The sequence below is a fragment of the Homo sapiens genome, chromosome 20 (assembly GCF_000001405.40).
Source record: "Homo sapiens chromosome 20, GRCh38.p14 Primary Assembly".
Taxonomy (NCBI): Eukaryota; Metazoa; Chordata; class Mammalia; order Primates; family Hominidae; genus Homo; species Homo sapiens.
In genome coordinates this window covers 51,365,890-51,386,612 of record NC_000020.11, presented here as the reverse complement: position 1 = coordinate 51,386,612, position 20,723 = coordinate 51,365,890, and the positions used below count along the sequence as shown (strand labels likewise).

The 20,723-nt window shown below is 51.3% G+C and overlaps 1 long non-coding RNA gene across 2 annotated transcripts in view, besides 1 other annotated feature; it reads right to left on the bottom strand.

Annotated features, from left to right (window-relative positions):
* Positions 1 to 20,178, bottom strand: part of LOC105372663 (uncharacterized) — a 30,555-nt gene extending 10,377 nt beyond the window's left edge. Inside the window, exons 1-2 of one of the 2 annotated variants that reach the window (XR_936848.3) lie at positions 19,954 to 20,178; positions 17,760 to 18,016 (exon numbers count right to left, since the gene is read on the bottom strand). This is a non-coding gene — a long non-coding RNA (uncharacterized LOC105372663). Of the gene's footprint in view, positions 1 to 17,759; positions 18,017 to 19,684; positions 19,783 to 19,953 lie in introns of those variants that run through there. The other variant, XR_007067650.1, reaches the window with a different exon arrangement.
* Positions 20,107 to 20,401: an enhancer, noted in NCBI's record as "tiled region #14118; K562 Activating DNase unmatched - State 10:DNaseD". NCBI's record gives its function as "activates a minimal TATA promoter and a strong SV40 promoter by Sharpr-MPRA in K562 cells {active_cell/tissue: K562}" and the evidence as "EXISTENCE:reporter gene assay evidence [ECO:0000049][PMID:27701403]".

Here is a 20,723-nt window from a genome sequence, read left to right as displayed (position 1 = left end):
ACTGGGCTAAGCCAGCCACTTGGAAGGCAAAAGCCATCATTTTTATTTGAGCATCTTGCAAAATATCAAGGCTAAAGAAAAAAAATGCACCTTATACCTTCAAACCCACAAACATAAGTACTAGAACCTTCTAGCCAAGTTCCTCCTTAAAACAGCTTTTGCCCTCCTGTAGCTAAAGCACCTAAGAGGTTTGGAAGTAGCTGCTATTTTTAATGTCTTAATATGGTTCGAACCTCCTCCCACCCTTTAACCCCAGGGAAACGGGATACCTGCCCCCGGCCCTGTGTTTTAGGGACCCACTTCACCCCACCATAGCCCTGCACTTGGAATGTCTTCCTGGGAATTTTCTAGCCCCCCATTCCAGTGCGTGTAACCAGCACTACCAAATGGGCAGGGGTCCCAAGCTCAGACAGGGACCTGCATGGGTCCTGGCTGCTGGAAGTGTCTATCTTGAAATAGCCTTAGTCTCCCTCTGGTGGCTGGGACTAGCTGGCTCCCATTTCTCCCCTTCAGATGCCCCAAAGAGCTCTAGAACCTGCACCTACAGGGTCCAGGCCAGCTTCCAGAAGAGCACCCTGGTGAGCAGATTGCTCCTGATGGCTGGTGCAGTATTTTCATTGTGATTTTTGTGGGATGGTGTGAGACTGAATCACCAGAATGGTGCTGATTTAGGAATGGCTCAAATTGCACATGCAGACAGGAGCCCCACAAAAAATATCTGCCCAGGGCTACACCTAAGAGGCAACTGTGCCCCACTAAGATGATTGCTGCCGCTGCGGCCAACTGTTTTGCTTTAACTCACTTTCTGAAAACCTTACACCACTTCTCCTGAATCGAAAGTCAAAATCACTTAAGCAGAGGACAAGGCTAAAACTATACAGTCATTTTTAAAAAAGAAAAAACAAAAAACAAAAAACAAGTCTGTGTTCTACATTTATATTTAAGCCACACTTAATAAACACAAATTTGGCCTGTGCCTCAGTTTCCCCAGATATAAAATGAGTTCTCTAGTCCCCACCTCACAGGTGCTGCATGTTTAATCAATATTACCTATCGATCCACTGTCCCGTCATTTAACAAACAGATTTCAGATTCACCTAAGGCATATCATGGAGCCTTGAGCTCATCTTGAGACCTCATTTGACTAATATCTGGAAGAAAACATTTAGAGCTCTGACTATGGGATTTAAATTTTTCTAAATAGATCATTAAAGCCAGAAACTTGAGTTTATCCAATTTTCAAAACCTGAGATAACAAGGAAGTTCGTATTGGAGCATCTTGGGGTCACTTTGCCAGGAGTTTGCAAATCTGAACATTGTTCCTTGCTGTATCCAACAGCATGGGGTAGTTTCGTACAAAGGAGCAGAAACAGAACAGTGGTTTCGTGCCAAGTTGGGATTTAAGAAGTGGTAAGATTGACAGGAGAAAACAAATGCTGACTCCTACTCAGCCTCTTCATGTTCATACATTGGGAGGAAACTGGGTTCCTGGTAGGACCAGGTTGAGTATAAAATAACGCTGAGGACAGAGGCACAGAACCACAAGGACCTTTAAGAAATGAAAGTGAAGTCATTTCTTTTGTCTGTGGATCCCCAGTAGCTGTGATGGGGTATAGGGGACACACTTGCTATAAACCTCATGACATTTTGTGGTACAAAGATGGACAAGGTCAGACCAAACTTTCTCCAAAAAGGGCTTCTCACTCTAAACCACCTCTTGCCCTGCCCTCCTGGTAAAATTCAGAAGTTGAGCTTTGTAAATGGCCCGATGAGGAGTTATCAAAGAAACAAAACCCCCTGCTGTATATCTGCCGTGTCCCAGGCCCTCTAGGAATCCCTGATTTACGAAAAACTTCAAGCTCTGAAACATTGCGCTGGACTCGAGACAGGAAGTACAGTGACAATTCACTCTGATTTCCAGGGGCTATACTTTTTACATCAGTGATCCCTAAATTTTTTGTTGAAATGGGGACACTTCATCCTTCTATGAAATACTGACAAAACTCCTTGAAAACACGTTGCCAACAGTTTCTGCTGCTGTGCAAAGTGTCAGAGGATATTTGATTCAGAACCCTCTGCCCTTAATACCATGAGAAAAAAGCATTCACAGGACAACCGTGGAGAGGGTTGTATTTACACCTTCACATACACACGTGCCAGACTCCTGTATGACCTCCCCAACTATGTGCCTTCTTCTCTTTGGTAGCCAGGAGGCATTTTGAGTTCAACATGCCCCAAAATTTCCTGATTCCCAATCTCCTCTTCCTCCCTTCTCCCAACACACACCCATCTTACTCATCAGTTTATGGCAACACCATCTACACAGTCGCTTAGTCAAAACCCTGGGAATAACCCCGGATCCTTCACTGTCCCCACTGCCCACATATCAGCAAGTCCTGCTGGGTCCCTTCTGAAATCATCCCACCTCTATGCCTCATGCTCACCAGAACACCCTCATCTCCTACCTGGATGACACAACAGCCCTTTGCTGGTGTACTCCCGACCTCCCCGTCCACACAGCAGCCAGATCGAGGTTAAAGCAGCCTCAGATCCCATCACAGCCCTGTTTAAAGCCCTCCACGGCTTCCCTTTGCGTTCAGGATGATCCGAATTTCAGGCAAGAGGCTCAGCCATCTTCCTCGGCCCCAAGTTCTCCAGCCTCCAGGTCTCTTTTCTGTTCCTTGCCCAGACCACACCATTCCCCACCTCTCTCTCTGTCTCCTCCTAAAACTTGAAACGCTTTGACCCCCGAGTTTCGTGGACTGGCTCTTCCTCATTCTTCAATTTTCCAATCAAATTCTTGTCCTCAGAGGACTTCAGTGACCGCTGTCATGTGGGACCTACCCCATGCCCCACCCACACATGCACTCAGCCTGGCATGTCAAAAACGCTGTTTGGATGGCCGTGTGCATGTTTGCTGCCTGTCTCTTGCCCCTGTAAATTCCATGGCGGCGACGATTGTCTTGATTTGCTCAATGCCATCTCTCTACCACCCTGGCATGCGGTATGGTAGGCCCCCAGGAACCGGGTGTTAAATGAGCAAACATGCCTTTTCCTGTGCATGGAGAACAATGGGCTCATCTGGCATGTATGGAAAATTAATCATTTCCTAATATTTAACACATTTTATAAACCAAACAACTGACTCAAGGGAGACTTTCCTCCTGCCCCACATGGCTCGGTTTATTCATCTCTAATTACACAGCAGTGTATTCCAGCCTGTCTTCTAGACAGAGCCAGTTCCCTTTGCTACAGAAAGCCAAAGGCCATAATTCCCTAGAATCCTGGAGCCTGCCAGGCCAGTTATCTGCTTTCTGGCAGCCTGCAGTCACCTGTGGCCCTCCTGCTTGTAAAATGCTCACTGCTGTGGCTCAACAGCTCCTTGGGGACAGGTAAGAGAAGGGCCGGCCAGCCAGCTGCCGTTTACAAGCCCAATCTGAAACCGGCTTCTCGGGGGAGTCTGTTTGACAAGGTGAATAACGGATTGTTTGCAGTGGAGCGAGGTGCGGCCAGCGCCTGTAGCTTGCTATGTTAGATGGTGCTAACGCGCTCCGGCTGGGCGCCTCTCCATCTGGTCCTCCCCAGATACACCTGCAGCCGTGCAGTTCAGGAGCCCACGTTCTCATTTATCCTCCCCGTGGTGCAAATAAGCCAGGGCACCCTCTGTGTGCTGCTGGGGTCTTCGACACAGACCTTGGCCCCTGAGCTGGGCTCCAGGATCTGAAGGTGCAAGGGCAGGCTCTCCTAAAATCTGCCCTGTGGACACCCCACCCCCCGTCTCCAGTTCCCTAGACCAGCACTGCCCAGAGTATGTCCAGGGCTCCTCGGAGAGTCGGGCAGTGGGGGTCCCAGGTCCCGTGACTTCCATCTCCCAGGGCTCACGGCCTCCCCTCTGGGACGAGTCTCTTTTGCCATTTATCCCTGTTTATGTCACTCTCATCTCATCCCCTGCGTCTCACTCTGACCCCCATGAGGCTCAGACCCCACTTTCTGCCCCACAGCCCCATGAAATGGTGCTGCCCATCCCTCTGCACCTCACTGCCCCCCATAAACAAACCCCCACATCCTCAGTCTTCCCTCCCCCCAGGGCCTGCGTGTTTTCATCCTAGCTGAAACCCACCGCTCCTGAGCCCTGTCTCCTTGCAGGCCTCTGCGACAATTAGCACAAACTTAGTGGCATAAAGCAACACAAATTCATCACCTCACAGTGCTGGAGGTCCAAGGTCCAAAGTAGGTCCCGTGGGGCTAGCATCCTGGTGTCAGGAGGGCTGCGCTCCTTCTGGGGGCTCTGGGGGAGAAGGTTTCCTCATCCTTTCCAGCTTCTTTGGAAATAGACACGGCTGCCCGCATTCCTTAGCACTCAGCTCTCATCTGCTGGGCCAGCCATCCCATCACTCTGATTCCACTTCCAGCCTCACGCCTCTTTCTCTAACAAACTCTCACATCTCTTTCTTTTGCCTCTAAAGACTCCTGTGATTACATGGGGCAAACCTGGGTAACCCAGGGTACTCTTCCTTTCTAATCACTGGTGATTAGCAATCGCACCTGCAAAGTCCCTTTTGCTGTAGAAGGTAACACATCCACAGATGATGGGCATTAGAACATGGACATCATTACGGGGCCCTTATCCTGCCTGCCATGCCAATGTGGCAGTGTTCAGAGGTGATGCCTTTAAGTGGTGACTCTGGATCCTGAGGGCTCTACCCTCGTGAATGGATGAATCCATTCATGGATTAATGGGTGAATGGGTTATCATGGGAAGGAAACTGGCGGCTTTACAAGAAGAGGAAGAAAGACCTGAGCACAGCACATTAGCGCACTCAGCCCGTCCCCATGCGATGTCCTGTGCCACCAGGGGATGCTGCAGAGTACCCGTGAGCAAGAAGGCGCTCATCAGATGTGGCCCTCGGCCTGGGACTTCTCAGTCTCTACAACGAGAAAGAAATTCCCTTTCAAAATGCCCAGTTTCAGGTATTCTGTTATAAGCAACAGAAAACGGATGAATACGTTGTTCAAGGCTCACGGACCACATCAGTGAAGAACACAGACTAAGCAAAGTCTCCATCCGCGTGAAGTGGACATCCCAGCAGGGTGCAGAGGGAGGGAGAAAGGCCTCAAAGAGACCTGGAGCTGATCATGTTTCAACCTGAACTCTTGCATTTCTCCTTCCTAGCACCGTCCCACCCCAGCGTTTATTTCATTTCATGGGACACCGTCACCCCGGTCACTCAGGCTAGAAGTCCAGCACCATGCTTGGCCCTCTTCCTTCTCTGACACCCATCTCCGATCTGTCAGGAAATCCCATCAGTTCCCTCTTTCAATTTTATCCCGAAACTGACCCCATCTCGGCCTGGCACTCTTCTGAGTCTGGTGTTTGTTTCAGCACCACCTCCTGCTAGGACTGATGTGGTAATCTCTCGGCTGGTCTCCCTGCCTTTCCCCTTCTGCCTGTCCTCATCACAGAGTGTTCCTGCTAATCTTAGATCAGGTCCTTCCTCTGCTCAAGATCCTCAGTGTGAAAGACAAAGACCTTAAATGGCCACCAAAGCTTTCCACTGCCCACCTCCCTTCCTACCTCACCTCCCAGTACTCTCCCATCTTGCCCTCTGCTCCAGCCCCCTGATCTCTCACTCTCAAACATGCCACACTGCCTGCATCTCAGGGCCTTCGTCCAGCTGTTGCTTCCACCTGGCATCTCTTCCATTAGATGTAATAGCTCCAGATGTCAGCAGAGACACTGCCTAAGCTCCCATCCTAAAATCAGGCCCACTGTATTCTCCATGGCTACTTGGACCCAAACAGAAGCTGCTATAGTTTGGTTTATCTGATCGCCCTCCCCTCACAACCGCTGCCATATCTCATGTTGAAATTCCATCCCCAGTGTTGGAGGTGGGGCTTAACAGAAGCGTTTGGGTTATGGGGTGGATCCCTCATGAGTAGGTGAATGCCCTCCCTGGTGGGGGGTGGGGGTAAGTGATTTTTCGCTTCATTTGTTCCCATGAGAGCTGGCTGTTAAAAGGAGCCCGGCACCTCCCCTCTCTCGCTTCCTCTCTCGCCAGGTGACCTGCACACATGAGGTCCCCTGCCTCTTCCACCATGAGCGGAAGCAGCTTGAGGCCCTCACCAGAGGCAGATGCCCCATCTTGAATTTTCCAACCATCAGAACCATGAGCCAAATCAACCTCTTCTCTTTCTAAATTGCCAGCCTGAAGTATTCCTGTGTAGCAAGACAAATGGACTAAGATGTCTAACACAATCTCTGAAGGCCTGAGTGCATCTGTTGGTAAATGTCCTTCAGCTGCATCTTGGTGGCATCCCGATGAGGGGAGGGGGTGGTAGGAATGATCCACCTGGTGCTGGCACTCAGGGGTTGCACTATCTACAGAGAATTTTAAAACAGTATTTCAACAATTGCTCTGATTTTTATTATCACTAGGTACTGGCTTTTTTTCTTTTTCTTTTTTTTTTTTTTGAGACAGGGTCTTACTCTGTCATCCAGGCTGGAGGGCAGTGGAACAATGACAGCTCACTGTGACCTCTGTCTTTTGGGCTCAAGCAATCCTCCCACCTCAGCCTTCCAAGTAGCTTGGACTCCTGGTAGCCACACCCTTGTGTGATCCCCTACCCTTGATTGTGGGCTGGACCTAGTGACTCGCTTCTTAGATTACAAGAGGTAATGACTTCCATCTTGCTGGCGCTCTCTTTATCTGAGTCTTCTCATTTGCTCCCTCTGATGAAGCCAGCAGCACTGCCTACGTGGAAAGAACCCAGGGCAGCTCCTGGTCACAAACAGTGGGGAACTGAGGCCTTCGGTCCCAGCCTATGAGGAACTGAATCCAGCCACAACTGCTGATCTTGCTTGGAAGTGGATCCTGCCCCAGCGGAGCCTTGGGATGACCATGGCCCCCGATGACTCCTGACTGCAGCCTGAGAGAGACCCTGAGCCTGGGGGCCCAGATAAGCTGAACCCAGATTCCGGGCCCATGGGAGCTGTCAGATAATGAAAATGTGTTGTTTTAAGCTGCTATATTTTGAGGTCATTTGTTATAGAGCAATGAAGAACTAACATATACAGAGAGGTCATGTAACCAGGCTGAGGCCACATAGTCTGTCGGGGGTTGGGGGAGGGTCAAGATTCAAGTCCAATTTGTCTCCTAGAGCTTGTGAGTTTTTTTGAGACAGGGCCTCACTCTGTCACCCAGGCTGGAGTTCAGTGGAATGATGAAGGCTCACTACAGCCTTGACCTCCTGGGCTCAAGCGATCCTCCTGCCTCAGCCTCCCGAGCAGTTGGGACCACAGGCACACATCAGTGCACCTGGCTAATTTTTTAATTTTTCATAGAGATGGAGGTCTTATGTTGTCCAGGCTGGTCTCAAGCTTTTGGTCTTAGGCGATCCGCCCACCTCAGCCTCCCAAAGTGCTAGAATTACAGGTGTAAGCCACTGCGCCCGGCTGCTTGTGATTTTTATCTCAAAACACACCACAGCATTTTCTGTATCTGTGTTATAATAGGCATTTCCACCAGCATCGCCACAAAGCAGATGGGCGCCTGGTAAACTCCACACGTAACAGGCATGTGGCAGCCACTGGGCCACATGGACCAGCATGTCCGCCCCCTAACTGGTTTCCATACCTCCCCAGCCCATTCTCCACGCAGCTGCCAGATAATGGTTCTGAGGCTCCAGTGGGTCGCCATCACAGTTAGGTTTAAAGCTCTGTAATGACCCCTTTCATGTAGCTTTTAGAGCCACCAGTGACCTGGCCTGGCCTACCCCTGGGCCACCCAGAGCTGGTGCTCACACATCTGCCGCACACAGGCCCGATCAGAGGGTTCCACATCACAGAGTCTCCGCAGCTGGACCCTTCATCCGGTGAGGAAGAGCTGCCCCACCCTCCATCCCACCTCCACCACCCCCGTCCCCCCGAGGATTCGAGAGGAGCCGTCCCTGCCCACGTGGACACCCTGGTTAATCCCTTTCTTTTATCTTCACCCTCCCTCTCTCCCAGCTCCCAACCATCAAGGTTCAAACATGCTAGGTGTCCCTTGTCTAAATCAACCAGAAATAAAAATAGAAAAAAAATCATCCATCGAACCCGCATCTGCCTCCAGCCACCAGCCTGGCTTTCCCCACGCCTCCCAGCCAAGGGTCTAGAAGGAGTTGCTGCTGCCTCTCATCCCCTGCTCCTGCTCACTCACTCCCCAGCCATTGTGCTGGGACTTCTGCGCCTACCTCACTGCCAAGCCACCAGCGCCCTCCCTTGTCAGCGAATCAAATGGACTCTTCTCATTTCTTCTCTTCCTGGACTTTCCAGTGGCGTTTGGCTCTGAGGTGTTCTCTCCACTTCTTCAAACTGTCCCCTTGCTCTTGGTTTTCAGGTCACCCATGCTACCTACTTTCCCCGGCTTCAGCCAATGGTCCCTCTTCCTCGATGCTAAAATCGCGGCGCCCAGACTCCACCCAAGATCTTGATCAACAATGAATGACCCTATGATTCAGCAGTGGAACACCTGCGAGTCTTCCTCTAGAAACACCCCCGACGCACCCAAAGACACACACAGATACTCAGGCTGGTCTACTGAAGTAGCAGAAAAATATAAACAATCAGAACACCCATCCTCACAGCCCTGGTGACCTGACGCCTGGCGGACGCCCGTAGGGGGATCCAACGCAGCTTTGGAACAGAATAGGTGTGTGCATTCATTTCCTAGGGCCGCCTACAAATTGCCATCAACTGGGAGACTTTGAACAACAGAAATTTATCTTTACGTAATTCTCGAGGCCAGAATTCTGAAACCAAGTGCTACAGGGCCGTGATGCCTCTGAAGGCTGTGGGGAGGACCCTTCCTGGCCCCTCCCAGCTTCTGGGGGTTCCTGGTGTTCCCTGGCTGTGGCTGCATCACTCCAATCTCTGCCTCCATCTTCACATGGGCTCCTCTTCTTATAAGGATACTTGGTTTTGGATTTAGGACCCACCTGGTTAATCCAGGATGGTTTCATGCCAAGACCCTTCATGTGGTGACATCTGTAGAGGCCTTTCTTCCAAGTTGAACCACACTCACAGGTACCAGCGTCCACCACAAGAACACATCTTTTGAGGGGGCCACGATTCAACCCAGTACAGTGAGGAAAACACCCTGTTTCCTCGGGTTGTGTTTAGGGTCAGCTCCTTTGTTGCTCTGTTGTGTCTCCTGGCCTCATCCTTCCTCATGGGCCTTCCCTCTGTCTAACCTGTTATCTACATGGTTTGTCTTGGCCGGGCGCTGTGGCTCATGCCTGTAATCCCAGCACTTTGAGAGACCGAGGCAGGTGGATCGCTTGAGCCCAGGAGTTTGAGACCAGTCTGGGCAACATAGTGAGACCTCATCTTTACAAAAAGTACAAAAACAAAACAAAAAAGGACAGTTTGTCTTGCTCACTGCTGTGTTTCACCCCAGTGCCTGGAACAGTGGCCGGCAAGGGAAAACGCAAAGTGCAGACCTGTGCGTCCCATTCATGGGATGACCACACACACGCACACACACACACACACACACACACACAATGACATAAACTCATACACACACAATGACATAAATTCACACTGCATACACACATACTGCATACACACACTGCATACAAACACACACATCCACAATGCAAACACACATACTGCATATACACATGCTGTATACACATCTGCATATACATACATACTGCATACACGCACACTGTATACACACACACATCTGTATACACATACATACTGCATACATGCACACTGTATACACACACATCTGAATACACATACGTACTGCATACCTGCACACTGTATACACACACACAAACACACGTGCTTTTTCTGAAAGACATTTCAGAATTACTAATGGTCCTGGGAGTCCAGGGGCATGGGGGAGGGGACGAGAGGGGCTTTTCGCTCCATATCCATTTGTACTGCTTGAAATCTGTAACCACACAATCTATGACCAAGAAAAAGTCTTAAAGTAACAACACATCGTTACCTACACCCGGAACAAAGCCACTACAGGTGTGACCCCCTCATCTGCTGCAAGCCGCTCAGTGCCGCTCCTGCCCCTCTCAGTCCCTCTCCGGCCCCTCCCCTCATGCCTCCTGCCCCTCTACCCTCTGTAAAGATGGAGCTGGGGGAATAATATGGTTTGGATCCATGTCCCTGCCCAGATCTCACGTTAAAGTGTAATCCCCAGTGTTGGAGGTGGGGCCTGGTGGGAGGCGATTGGATCATGGGGGTGGATCCACTGGTGCTGTTCTCGTGATAGTGAGTTCTCATGAGATCTGGTCATGGAAAAGTGTGTAGCACTTCCCCACCCTTCTCTTGCTCCTGCTGCTCTGCCCATGTGATGTGCTGGCTTCCCCCTAGCCTTCCACCACGATTGTAAGTTTCCTGAGGCCTCCCCAGAAGCAGAAGCCACTGTGCTTCCTGCACAGCCTGTGGAACTATCAGCCAATTAAACTTCTTTTCTTTGTAAATTACCCAGGTTCAGGTATTTCTTTATAGCAATGGGAGAACAGCCTAAGGAGGCGGGGGGCGCGCTACATCTTCCGTGTCTCTCCCTCTCCCTCCTGGTGTGTTCTGCACAGGGCTGCCATGGAGCAGCAGCCCTAATATTTTTTTCAAGGATCCAAGTTCTAAAGCTAGACAGCAACGGTGGCTACAGGCACAGAGGCTACAGTGTCAGCTGCCCTGCGTTCAGGGAGCTGGGCAGGGAGCTTGTTCCAGTGTCTTCCATTTGCCCTCCAGGTTCACCCTCAGCTCTCTGGGCCTGGGAGGCGGACCATATGACCAGCCTCTCCGGGGCACCTCTGGCTTTCAGAGGGTTCCTTCAATAGGAGGTGCCAGCAAGAGATGGAAGGTTGGGTGTTCATGCCGTGGCCTGGATATGTCCCTCAACAAAAGCCACTGTCTCTCCAAGTGGCCCTCTCCATGGGGTGCCATCCCTCCCGGTCCCAGAAACTGCTCTCCTCCTTAACCTCTTCGGGCCTTGGGGCGGCAGAGGTGCCCCAGTGCTGATAGCTCTGGGGGATTCATCTTGCATTACGTTTCCCCTCTCTCCTGTGCCTTTGTGAATAATCCATTAAAACTCTCCTCAATTTACTCCTTTGCCTGTGTAGCCTCCTTCTGGGTTCCTGGTTTCTGGCCTGCTATCGTCTGTTCCCTTCACAGAAGCCAGAGGGATCCTTTTCAATATGAGCCAGATGATAGCACCTTTTGCTAAAGCCCGCCAAAGGCCCTGACCTCACTCAGAATAAAAGCCAGGGTCCTGCTATGATCTGGCCCCCAGCTACTCTCAGACCACCTCATCCCTCCAGCCACGCTGCCATCTTGCTGTTTCTTGAAGAAGCCAAACACGTTCCTGCCTCGGGGCCTTTGCACTTGCCAAGCCGTCTGCCTGGAACGCACTTCCCCCATCCCCTGCATGGCTCTTTGGGTCATGTTCCACCTCCTCAAAGAGGCCATCCGTGGCCACCCTAGCTAATGTATCTGCTCCACCACCCTCCCTCGCAATACCTGGGGTCTTGTTTGGGTTGAGTGCCTATGATAGGATCACTCTCCCACCTGTCTTCCCCCGAGAAGGTCAGTTCCTCGAGGGCAGAGTCAAGTCTGCCCAGTCCACAGTTGTGCCCACAGTGACCAGAAGTGCCAGGCATGTGGTAGGTGCTCTGATATTTGATGAATGAATGGGGACATTTCCCATGCAGCTTTCTCTGGAATTCTTGGCTGCCGCCTGCCTTCTAACAAGTCCCTTGACTACAACCTGTATGGTCCGGGGACAATGGGGGGATGTTTGAGGAGACACAAGCTTTCTCCTGCAATTCATCCAACCAGAACCCCAAATTAGAACCAAATAACTCCTTTGGTGTCAAGGCTAGAGCAAGAGAGAGACAGAGATAGACAGTGCCTGCTGGAGGAACAGTGGAGCAGGGCCAGGATGGGAGGCATCATAAGAACAGTGTGGTCGGCTGAATTATGGCCCCAAAGAGGTCCCCGCCCTAATCCCCAGAACCTGTGAATATGTTACCTCATAAGGCAAGAGGGATTTTGCAGGCGTGATGATGTTAAGAACTCTGAGACAGGGAGATTATCCTGGATTATCCAGGTAGACCCAGTGGAATCACAAGGATCCCTATGGAATGGAGGCAGGACCGTCAGAGAAGATGTAATGATGGACAGAGAGATCGGAGTGATATGATCCAAGGAAAACAGATGGCCCCAGGAGCTGGAAAAGGCAGGAAACAGAATCTCCCCTAGAGCCTCCAGAAGGAAGGCAGCCCTGCCAATATTTTGATTTTAGGACCTCTGCCCTCCGGAACTGTAAGATGTTAAATTTGTGTTGCTTTAAGCCATTAAGTTTGTGGTAATTTGTTATGGCAACAAGAGAGAACTCATACAAAGAGTAATATCTGCTCTTTCCTAACTGCTTATCAAGTGTGTGCCAGCCGCTGCAGGAGCCGTTCCCAGCACTCTGCAGAGCAAGGGCTCTTGTTATCTCCATTTCACTGATTAGGAAATGAGAGGTGATATGGCTTCCCCGGGGTTGCATGGTGAGTGGCTGAGGCAGGCCGGAAGGCAGGTCTCCTTGATCCCAGAGCCCACATTCTTCCCACTAAGACACCCTGCTTCCCCGGTGCACTCACACTTCTTTGGCCTTCCATTTCCCGTTTGTCACCCATGGGCCACCTCTCACCTTGGAGTTTCACAGCCCCTGGCTGCTTTATGCAGAGAAACGGCCAAGACAGCCTCGCCCAGTGACCCCACCTCTCTGAGCCTTGGGGTGTTTCCTGGCCTCAGTCTTCCCTGCCTGGCCCCTGGGAGGATCCAACATGAGGGCGCCTGTTCAGAGAACTTGCAGGCCTTGTTGGGTGAGTCTGTATCAATGCCTGGCCAGTGACCCATCCCTCTGAGCTGCACTTGGAGGCCAGAGGGTGGCGATTCTCCTGACTCCATTGTAAAGCCCAAGACAACCTCGGAATCTGATTGGGAGAGTGGATTTGCATCTGTTGCCTGCCTGGGCTGGGTGCTCTTGCACATTTGCTCAATCCATCTGAAGCCACCTTTGACACTTCTAATGCCATCATCCGCATTGCACAGCTGGGGAAACTGAGGCCCAGAGAACTGTAATACGAGCTCCAAAGCATTCATTTATGCACCCAACAGGTATTTTTTGATGCCAACCTTGTGCCTAGAACAGAGTGTTTTGGACACGGCAGTGGAGCTTGTGTCCCAGCAGGAAGGATAGACTGTATAAACCATAAGAACAGAAGAGTTCAGCAATGGGTGCCTCGGGAAAAATTAGCAGCAGGGAGGGTGCGGCTGGTGGTGCTTCTGGCAGGGGCTGTGATGTGCCTGGTGTTGTGCTATATATACTGGTTCCAGGATTTCTGTCCCCGAGCCCTGCGGCCATCCCGTAAGGTGGGGCTTTCCTCATTTCTCAGATGAGCCGGAGGCTCAGAGTGGGTGCAAGCTGGTGACCCTGCAGCTGTGCAGTGGCAGAGTGACGATTTGAACCCAGGTCTGTGTGCACCCAAAGTGGATATGCTTGCACCCCCTAACCTTGCCCCCAACAGGGATTCTGTGGCCCTTAGAGGGTGCAGCCCATGAGGCTCTGATCCCTGGGGGCTCTGATCTCTGGACCAAAATGCATCCAGGGACTTCCCTGTTTGCCAAGCAAGAACGAGGGGTAGGAGCAGGCAGGGGCGAACCGTCGAGGAGATTTATTTTGGGGAATCTAAAAGCCTGAGTCTGGCCAAGAACACTCCAGTAGAAATGCACGTTTTCTCCATGTGAACATTATGAGCCCCAGAAATCTGACTTCCCCCTGGCCAGGCTGGTGGGAGATGGCCTCTGTGTGGCCCGGAGTCCCCAGGTACCCCCTAAGTAGGTACAGCTGTCGGGCTTCTGTGCTTGGAAACGTTCACATGCTACTGACACTAGATACTTTCCTTCCTAATGAGCTTTCCCCCGCACAAACAACTGGATGTGGAAAGATCCATCCTCTGCGCCCAGCCAAGGCAACCTGTGGGTAGAAATTTCCCTTTAGGCTGAGCAGGGAGGCCCGTTCTAAGGTGAGGAGTATTTCCTGGCCACTGGGAAGACACTGGAAGGGACTCTTGGTGGAGCCCCACTGCCCTCTAGAGGTACGGATCCCCAAGCCCCACTGAGGATGCTCAGATCCAGGGCCTGGGGCTCTCCCGGGACCTGCTGCAAGAGTGGCTTCCACAGGCTTCCCTGCAACCTCCTCCAGCCCCTACCCCGAGTCAACCTTTCCCTGACCTCCGTCCATTTGCTGAGTTAAGAGAAGTAGGACATGTCCAGCCTCCAGCCAAGTCAGGTCCCTGGACCGTAGGCTGTAGCTCAACGAACTCGGCTTGCTCTGTCCCAGACAATGGCACACATCCCTGGGAACTGCTGCCAGTCCTCTCCGGAGACTTTTAAAGCCACAAATCCCGAGGCGATCAGGATGCCCCATGCCCCCTAATTAATTCAAACCCAACATAATGCTGTACAGTAAGAGTAAGGAAGTCTAAGACACTTCGGAGTTTTGCGTGATGGCTACCTTGATGTCCTTTTTGTTTTCTAAAATAAACATCCTTCAAATTATTAACAAAAAAATGTTTGGGGCACTGCTCTGATTGAAATCACTCTTGCAAAAATTGTGACAATGAGAAATTGTGACAGTGAAAGAGATCTGACCTAACCGACTCCATCTTGCTTCTCACCTCCAAGCTGCCCTTGTTCATTCCTGGGCATAGGTAACTTTGGGAGGAAGTTAGTTTATAGTTTAACTTTGAAACAAAGATGATAACAGCCCATTCCCGAAACAAACCTCCTTCTTGCCTGGGGACCAGACTGCCTTTGTACAACTAACAAGTGAGCCACAAGATCAGAAGTTAACTGCTCAGGAGTCATGCAGCCAGAGGCCAAAATATCCCTAAACTTCCCAATTTCTCCTATAACACTGGTATTATAAAATCTAAGATTGCTGTTTGAGGGACTTTGCAGACCCTGCACTCAGCTGGGATCACCCAGATTGATCAACTGGCTCATCTGGTCCTGTGGCCTGCATGTAGGAACCAACTCAGTGCAAAAGGACAGCTTCGACCCCCTATGATTTCATCTCCAACCCAACCAGTCAGCATTCCCCACTCCCTGCCCCCCTGCCCACCAAATTATCCTTTAAAAACCCCAGTCTCTGAATTTTTCAGGGAGACTGATTTGAGTAATAATGAAACTCCGGTCTCCCATTCAGCCGACTCTGCGTGAATTAAACTCTTTTCTCTATTGCAATTCCCGTCTTGATACATTGGTTCTATCTGGGCAGTGGCAAAATGAACCCACTGGCGGTTACATGCTGACATGTGAATGACATTGTTAACATGTAAATACTCTTTCGTGAAGTTTGGCTCTTGCTTAGTGAGTGGGTACCATGTGCTCCGCAGCTCAGAGATCATTCACCGAGACCTCAGGACAAGCCTATGAAGTGGTACTGCTGTTGCTGTCATCATTTTACAGATCACACAGCTGAGAAGTGAAGTCTTGGAGGCTCGATTTGGGGCAGTCTGATTCTGACCGTTAGGTCACCCTTCTTTTTTGCTGAATTGGGTCACCCAGCAAGGAAACCATCTCTGGCATCCAGAGCTTCCATCTCAGAGGGGAGTTGAAGCAAGGACACGCCATGGTTTCCACGCCTCCTCCGAGTCTCTGGACTCTCCCCACGTCTCTCCACATCTATGGGTCACACTCCAATCCTGTCCTGTGGTCCAGTCCCTGTCCTCTCTCACCAGATGGCCACAACAGCCTCCTCCAGCCCCTTTGAGACAGTGATGCTTTCCAAGGGCACACATTAGCATGGTGCCTCCCGGAGGAAAGCTGAGTTGTCCAGTGCTTCCAATGCCTTTAGGATAACTCAGATGCATCCTCAGAGCTCAGCCCTTGCCCCTTCCTCTGGGAAGCCCTTCTGGCCTTACTCGTCTCCCCCTCAGCACTTCTCCTTCCAGAACCCACTGAAGTTGTAACTTAACATGTGGTGTGTGATCATGTAACCCATCTCCCCACTGCTGGACTCTGAGTCCCCTGAAGATGAGGACTCTGCGTGGGCTCCCACTGTGTCCCTTGGGCTGACTTCTGTGTCCTCAGTCCTCCACCTCCAACCCCCATGACACAGAGCAGGCACTCTAATATTTGCTGAGTAAATGAACACATAAATGAATGAATGAGGCTGGGCATGGTGGCTCACACCTATAATGCCAGAACTTTGGGAGGCCGAGGCAGGCAGATCACCTGAGGTCAGGAGTTTGAGATCAGCCTGGCCAACATGGCAAAAACCCCGTCTCTACTAAAAATACAAAAACGAGCTGGGTGTGGTGACGCATGCCTATAATCCCAGGTACTTGGGAGGCTGAGGCAGGAGAATTGCTTGAACCCGGGAGGCGGAGTTTGCAGTGAGCCGAGATCGTGACGTTGCACTCCAGCCTGAGCAACAGAGTGAGACTCCATCTCAAAATAAATAAACCAATTAATTAATTAATTTTAAAAAATGAATGAATGAAAGCAAAGTGCAGTAGGTGCTCCCAGGAGGGAGAGATCCCATCTTGATGGTGGGTGGGAGGGGGACCAGGGAGACTGTGGAAAAAGTGGCACTAGAGTCAGAACGTAGACATGCGGAGAAAGGGGGGAGGGCACTGTATGAGGAAAGGCACGGGGATCGGACACTGTGCCACATCTCCGGGGAAGAGAACCCTTTTACCAAGCCTCCGAGATCCTTGCAATGTGGTCACAGTCTGCCATGTTTTGTGGTCACACTCAAACTACGTTTCAGCCATAGCAAGCCGCTCACAGCTCTTCGACTGTCCCAGCTCAGGCCTTTCCGCTGCTGTCTCCTCTCCCTGCCGTGCCCTCTCCTTGAGTACTAGGCTGCTGCAGTCCAATCCGGCTTTCCACCCAAAGGCTGCAAAATGGTGACCTGCAGGCTGGACCTGGCTTGGGGATGTTTTTTTTTCATCCACCCAGTGTTTTTTTTTTTTTTTTTCTTCTTCTTTTAAGGCAGGTTCTTGCTCTGTCACCCAGGCTGGAGTGCAGTAGCGTGATCTCAGCTCACTGCAACCTCTGCCTCCCGGGTTCAAGTGATTCTCGCTCCTCAGCCTCCCGAGTGGCTGGGATTGCAGGCACCTGCCACCATGCCCAGCTAATTTTTTTTGTATTTTCAGTAGAGACGGGGTTTCTCCATGTTGGCCAGGCTGGTCTCGAACTCCCAACCTCAAGTGATCTGTCTACCTCAGCCTCCCAAAGTGCTGGGATTACAGACGTGAGCCACCGTGCCAGGCCTCTTTTTGCTTCTTTTAATAAAAGCACTTGAAATTCAGATGTCTTTACCAAAAAAAAAATGTTTAGATTTCTACTTTCTTTTGAAGAACTAGATGATCTGGCCACACTCGCCCCACATCCTTTTTGGTGACCATGAGTCAGAGCTGAGTAGCAACCACCTCTTTGATGGGGGCACGTGTTGTCAACTGGCCACCATCTGCCCCTCACTGTGGCATTACCCTCCACCCACTTTATTCATCCTCGTCACGCACCCAGGCCCTGCGGGACCTCTCCACACACATATGGAACTCAGGTAGCCCTGCCCATGGGATGCCTGGTGCACGTGCCCATGTCTTCTCTAAGCCTCTGTACTAGGCATTGCTGCAGAGGGGCCCTGCTCCTGAGGCTGGTCCTTCTCAGCATCCAGGGCTCAGCTTACCTGTTATACCTTCGGAGAGGCCCTCCCTGGCTACAGCGGGCCCACCCGCCCCATGGCAACACTGTTGTTCTTGCTCTCTGCTTGCTCCTTTTACTGCTCTCCCTCCAATGTGTCATCCAGTTTCTGTTTTCGTGGAGTTGGCCTCCCCCCAGTGCAAAGTCAGTTCCATGAGAGCAGGCATCAGATCTGTTGGGATTGTGGCTGCATCCCCAGGGCCTCGCAGCGTGTCTGGAACACGGTAGGCATTACATCAATATCTGTGGGACACAAGAATGAAGGAATGAAGGAAGGAAGGAATGAACACACAATTGCTATTCTCCAGGAACTCCCACTTAGTAGCAGGGCAGGGAATAGACCTTATAGACTAGAGGGTGTTGAATGGTGATGACTCCCTCCAACCCCCGCCCCACAAAAGACAAATCCAGTAAAAAACATGTGAATGTAAACTTATTTGGAAAAAGGGTCTTTGTGGATGGAATTAAGTTAATGATCTCAAGGTGAGATCACCTGGATGATCTGGGTGGGCCCTAAACCTAACAACAAGTGTCTTTAAAGAAGAAAAGAGATCACAGACATGGAGGAGACGTTCAGGAGAAGATGGAGACAGAGGCTGGAATTCTACTATCACAAGCTAAGAATCCCTGGAGCCATCAGAAGCTGGAAGAAGCTGGCCAAGATGCCCCTGTGGAGCTTTCAGAGGGAGCACAGCCCTGCTGACACACGGATTTTGGACTTTTGGCTTCCAGAACTGCAAAAGGATGGTTTTGGGCCATCCGGTGTGTGGTAATCTGTCATGGCACCCCCAGAAAATGAATACATTGACCAAGCACAGATGCCTAGACATTCATGCGACCTGCAAAGGGGCTTTCAAGATGCCAGGGCTGCAAGTCTCCATTCGATGAGCTGCTATCATTTTTTTTGAGACAGAGCCATACTCTGTAGCCCGGGCTGGAGTGTAGTGGTGTGATCTTGGCTCATTGCAACCTCTGCCTCCCAGCCACCTGAATAGCTGGGACTACAGGGGTGTGCAACCATGCCCAGCTAGTTTTTGTATTTTCAGTAGAGACAGGGTTTCACCATGTTGGCCAGGCTGATCTCGAACTCCTGACCTCAAGTGATCCACCTGCCCCAGCCTCCCAAAGCACTGGAATTACAGGTGTGAGCCACCACACCTGGCCGATGAGCTGCTTTTGCTGGAGCAGCAGCCAGCTTGGCTCTTCCTGCCTTGCGGAGCATCTGCCCGACACCCATTCAGAGCCATGAGACACCACATCTCTCTTCACCATGCTACTCCTGTGATTAGAACTTCACAGACTTCTCAGCCTGCAGTTTGGATTTTGTTTCCTGGAGTCCCCTTCCCACAGCTGCGCACTTGCCAAGTGGAGCAGCTTCCTCCCCTGCACACAGGTGCCCGGTCCTCTCTGTGTAGAGGTCTATCCCACCTCCCCCAGCTCCAAAGCCAGTACCCCCAGGGAGCTTTCCCTAATCCCCGGTTGGATTCTTCTGCTCGGTTTCTGTGTCTTTCTCAAGGTGGAAAGTGTGATCTGCCTCCCAGCCTTATCTCTTCCAGTAGCCTGCAGGGGAAATGGACATGCCGTGCCTGTCTGCACACTTCCAGGCACACAGTAGAAAAAAAAAAAAACACAGCAAAACCCTCGGTAAAGCACAGCTTTCTGCCACCCTCCATCCTTGTGCAGCCAACAGCCCACCGCCTGGAGCCACTTCCCAGATACCACTGAACCTCTGACCTGACTCAGGTCCAGCTCACAACCTCTGACCTCCGTTTCCCACCCCACCAGGGTCATACCTGCTGCCTCAGGGCCAGGCAGACCTTGCCTTGGGAGCTTCACATTCATAATGAGACCCGTGATTCCACCCACTGGAGGGTCCTGCACCTAGTGGGTCAAGGGCATGACCTTACTCACCGACATGCCCAGCTCCTGAGTGGGACCTCAGATGGTGATAATACTCAGATGGCAAACGCCAATGGTACCTGCCTGGCAGGATGCTGTGAGAATGATGTGAGGTCACTTCATGTGACTCCCTTAGAAACCATGTGGGTTGGAATAAGCACTTGATAATAGTAGCTAGTGTTGATGATGACGATGGTGATGATGATGGTCATTGCCATCCACAGCACTGGCCCCAGGTCAATACATAAGTGTATGGGGGCTCGACAGGGCTGGCCTCCTACCTCTGACTCAGGCTGGCAACACCCCAGGGAGTCTGTGGGAAGGCCTTGTCCCCGGCAGAGGCAGAGCGTCCACGCCCCATCCTGGCCCCTGTCCACTCAGTGTCCTTTCTCCATCTGAGTCGATTTCTGTGGTGCTGGAAGATGCTTTCAAAATGATGTGAGCATATTTCTGAGGTCAACTTCTAATCAAAAACGACTCCCAGACGGTGCCCTGGTTTAAAAAGAAAAGAGAGAAGAAATGGAGTGAGTCACCGTCCAAACCATTTGAATGAAACAAAGACACAACAAACTCTCTGCTTTCCTCTTGAGCCAGAATGGATGACCTCAGCCCTGTAGAGACACAGCTGGAGGGAATTAAGGGGGATCTCCGGTTCCCCGAGATAGCGAGGACGGCACAGCAGAGCCACCATGACTCACGGTGAGAACCACAGGGATGGAATCCAGGGGCCTGGAACCCCAGGGACCTGCAGCCAAGGCGAAAACCAAAACTGGTGGGTGGGGAGGGGTGGCAGGAGGCTGAAGGATTGCAGGCCTTGGGAATAGTCGATGAGTGAGCTTGAAAAAGACCCCAAAGCTGGAGCAATGTGACCCCCACGATGTCTTCTGGGGACCTGGGGGACATTGCCAGGCCTAGACTTGGGCTTTTTAGTGCCCAGAGTGCCTCTGTTGGCAACTCTATTTCCAGTGTCTGGAATCCTTCCTCCCAATATTCCCAGGGCCCCAGAATCTGTCATCCTCGCCCTCTGGGAGGAGAAGGGCAGACACAGTCA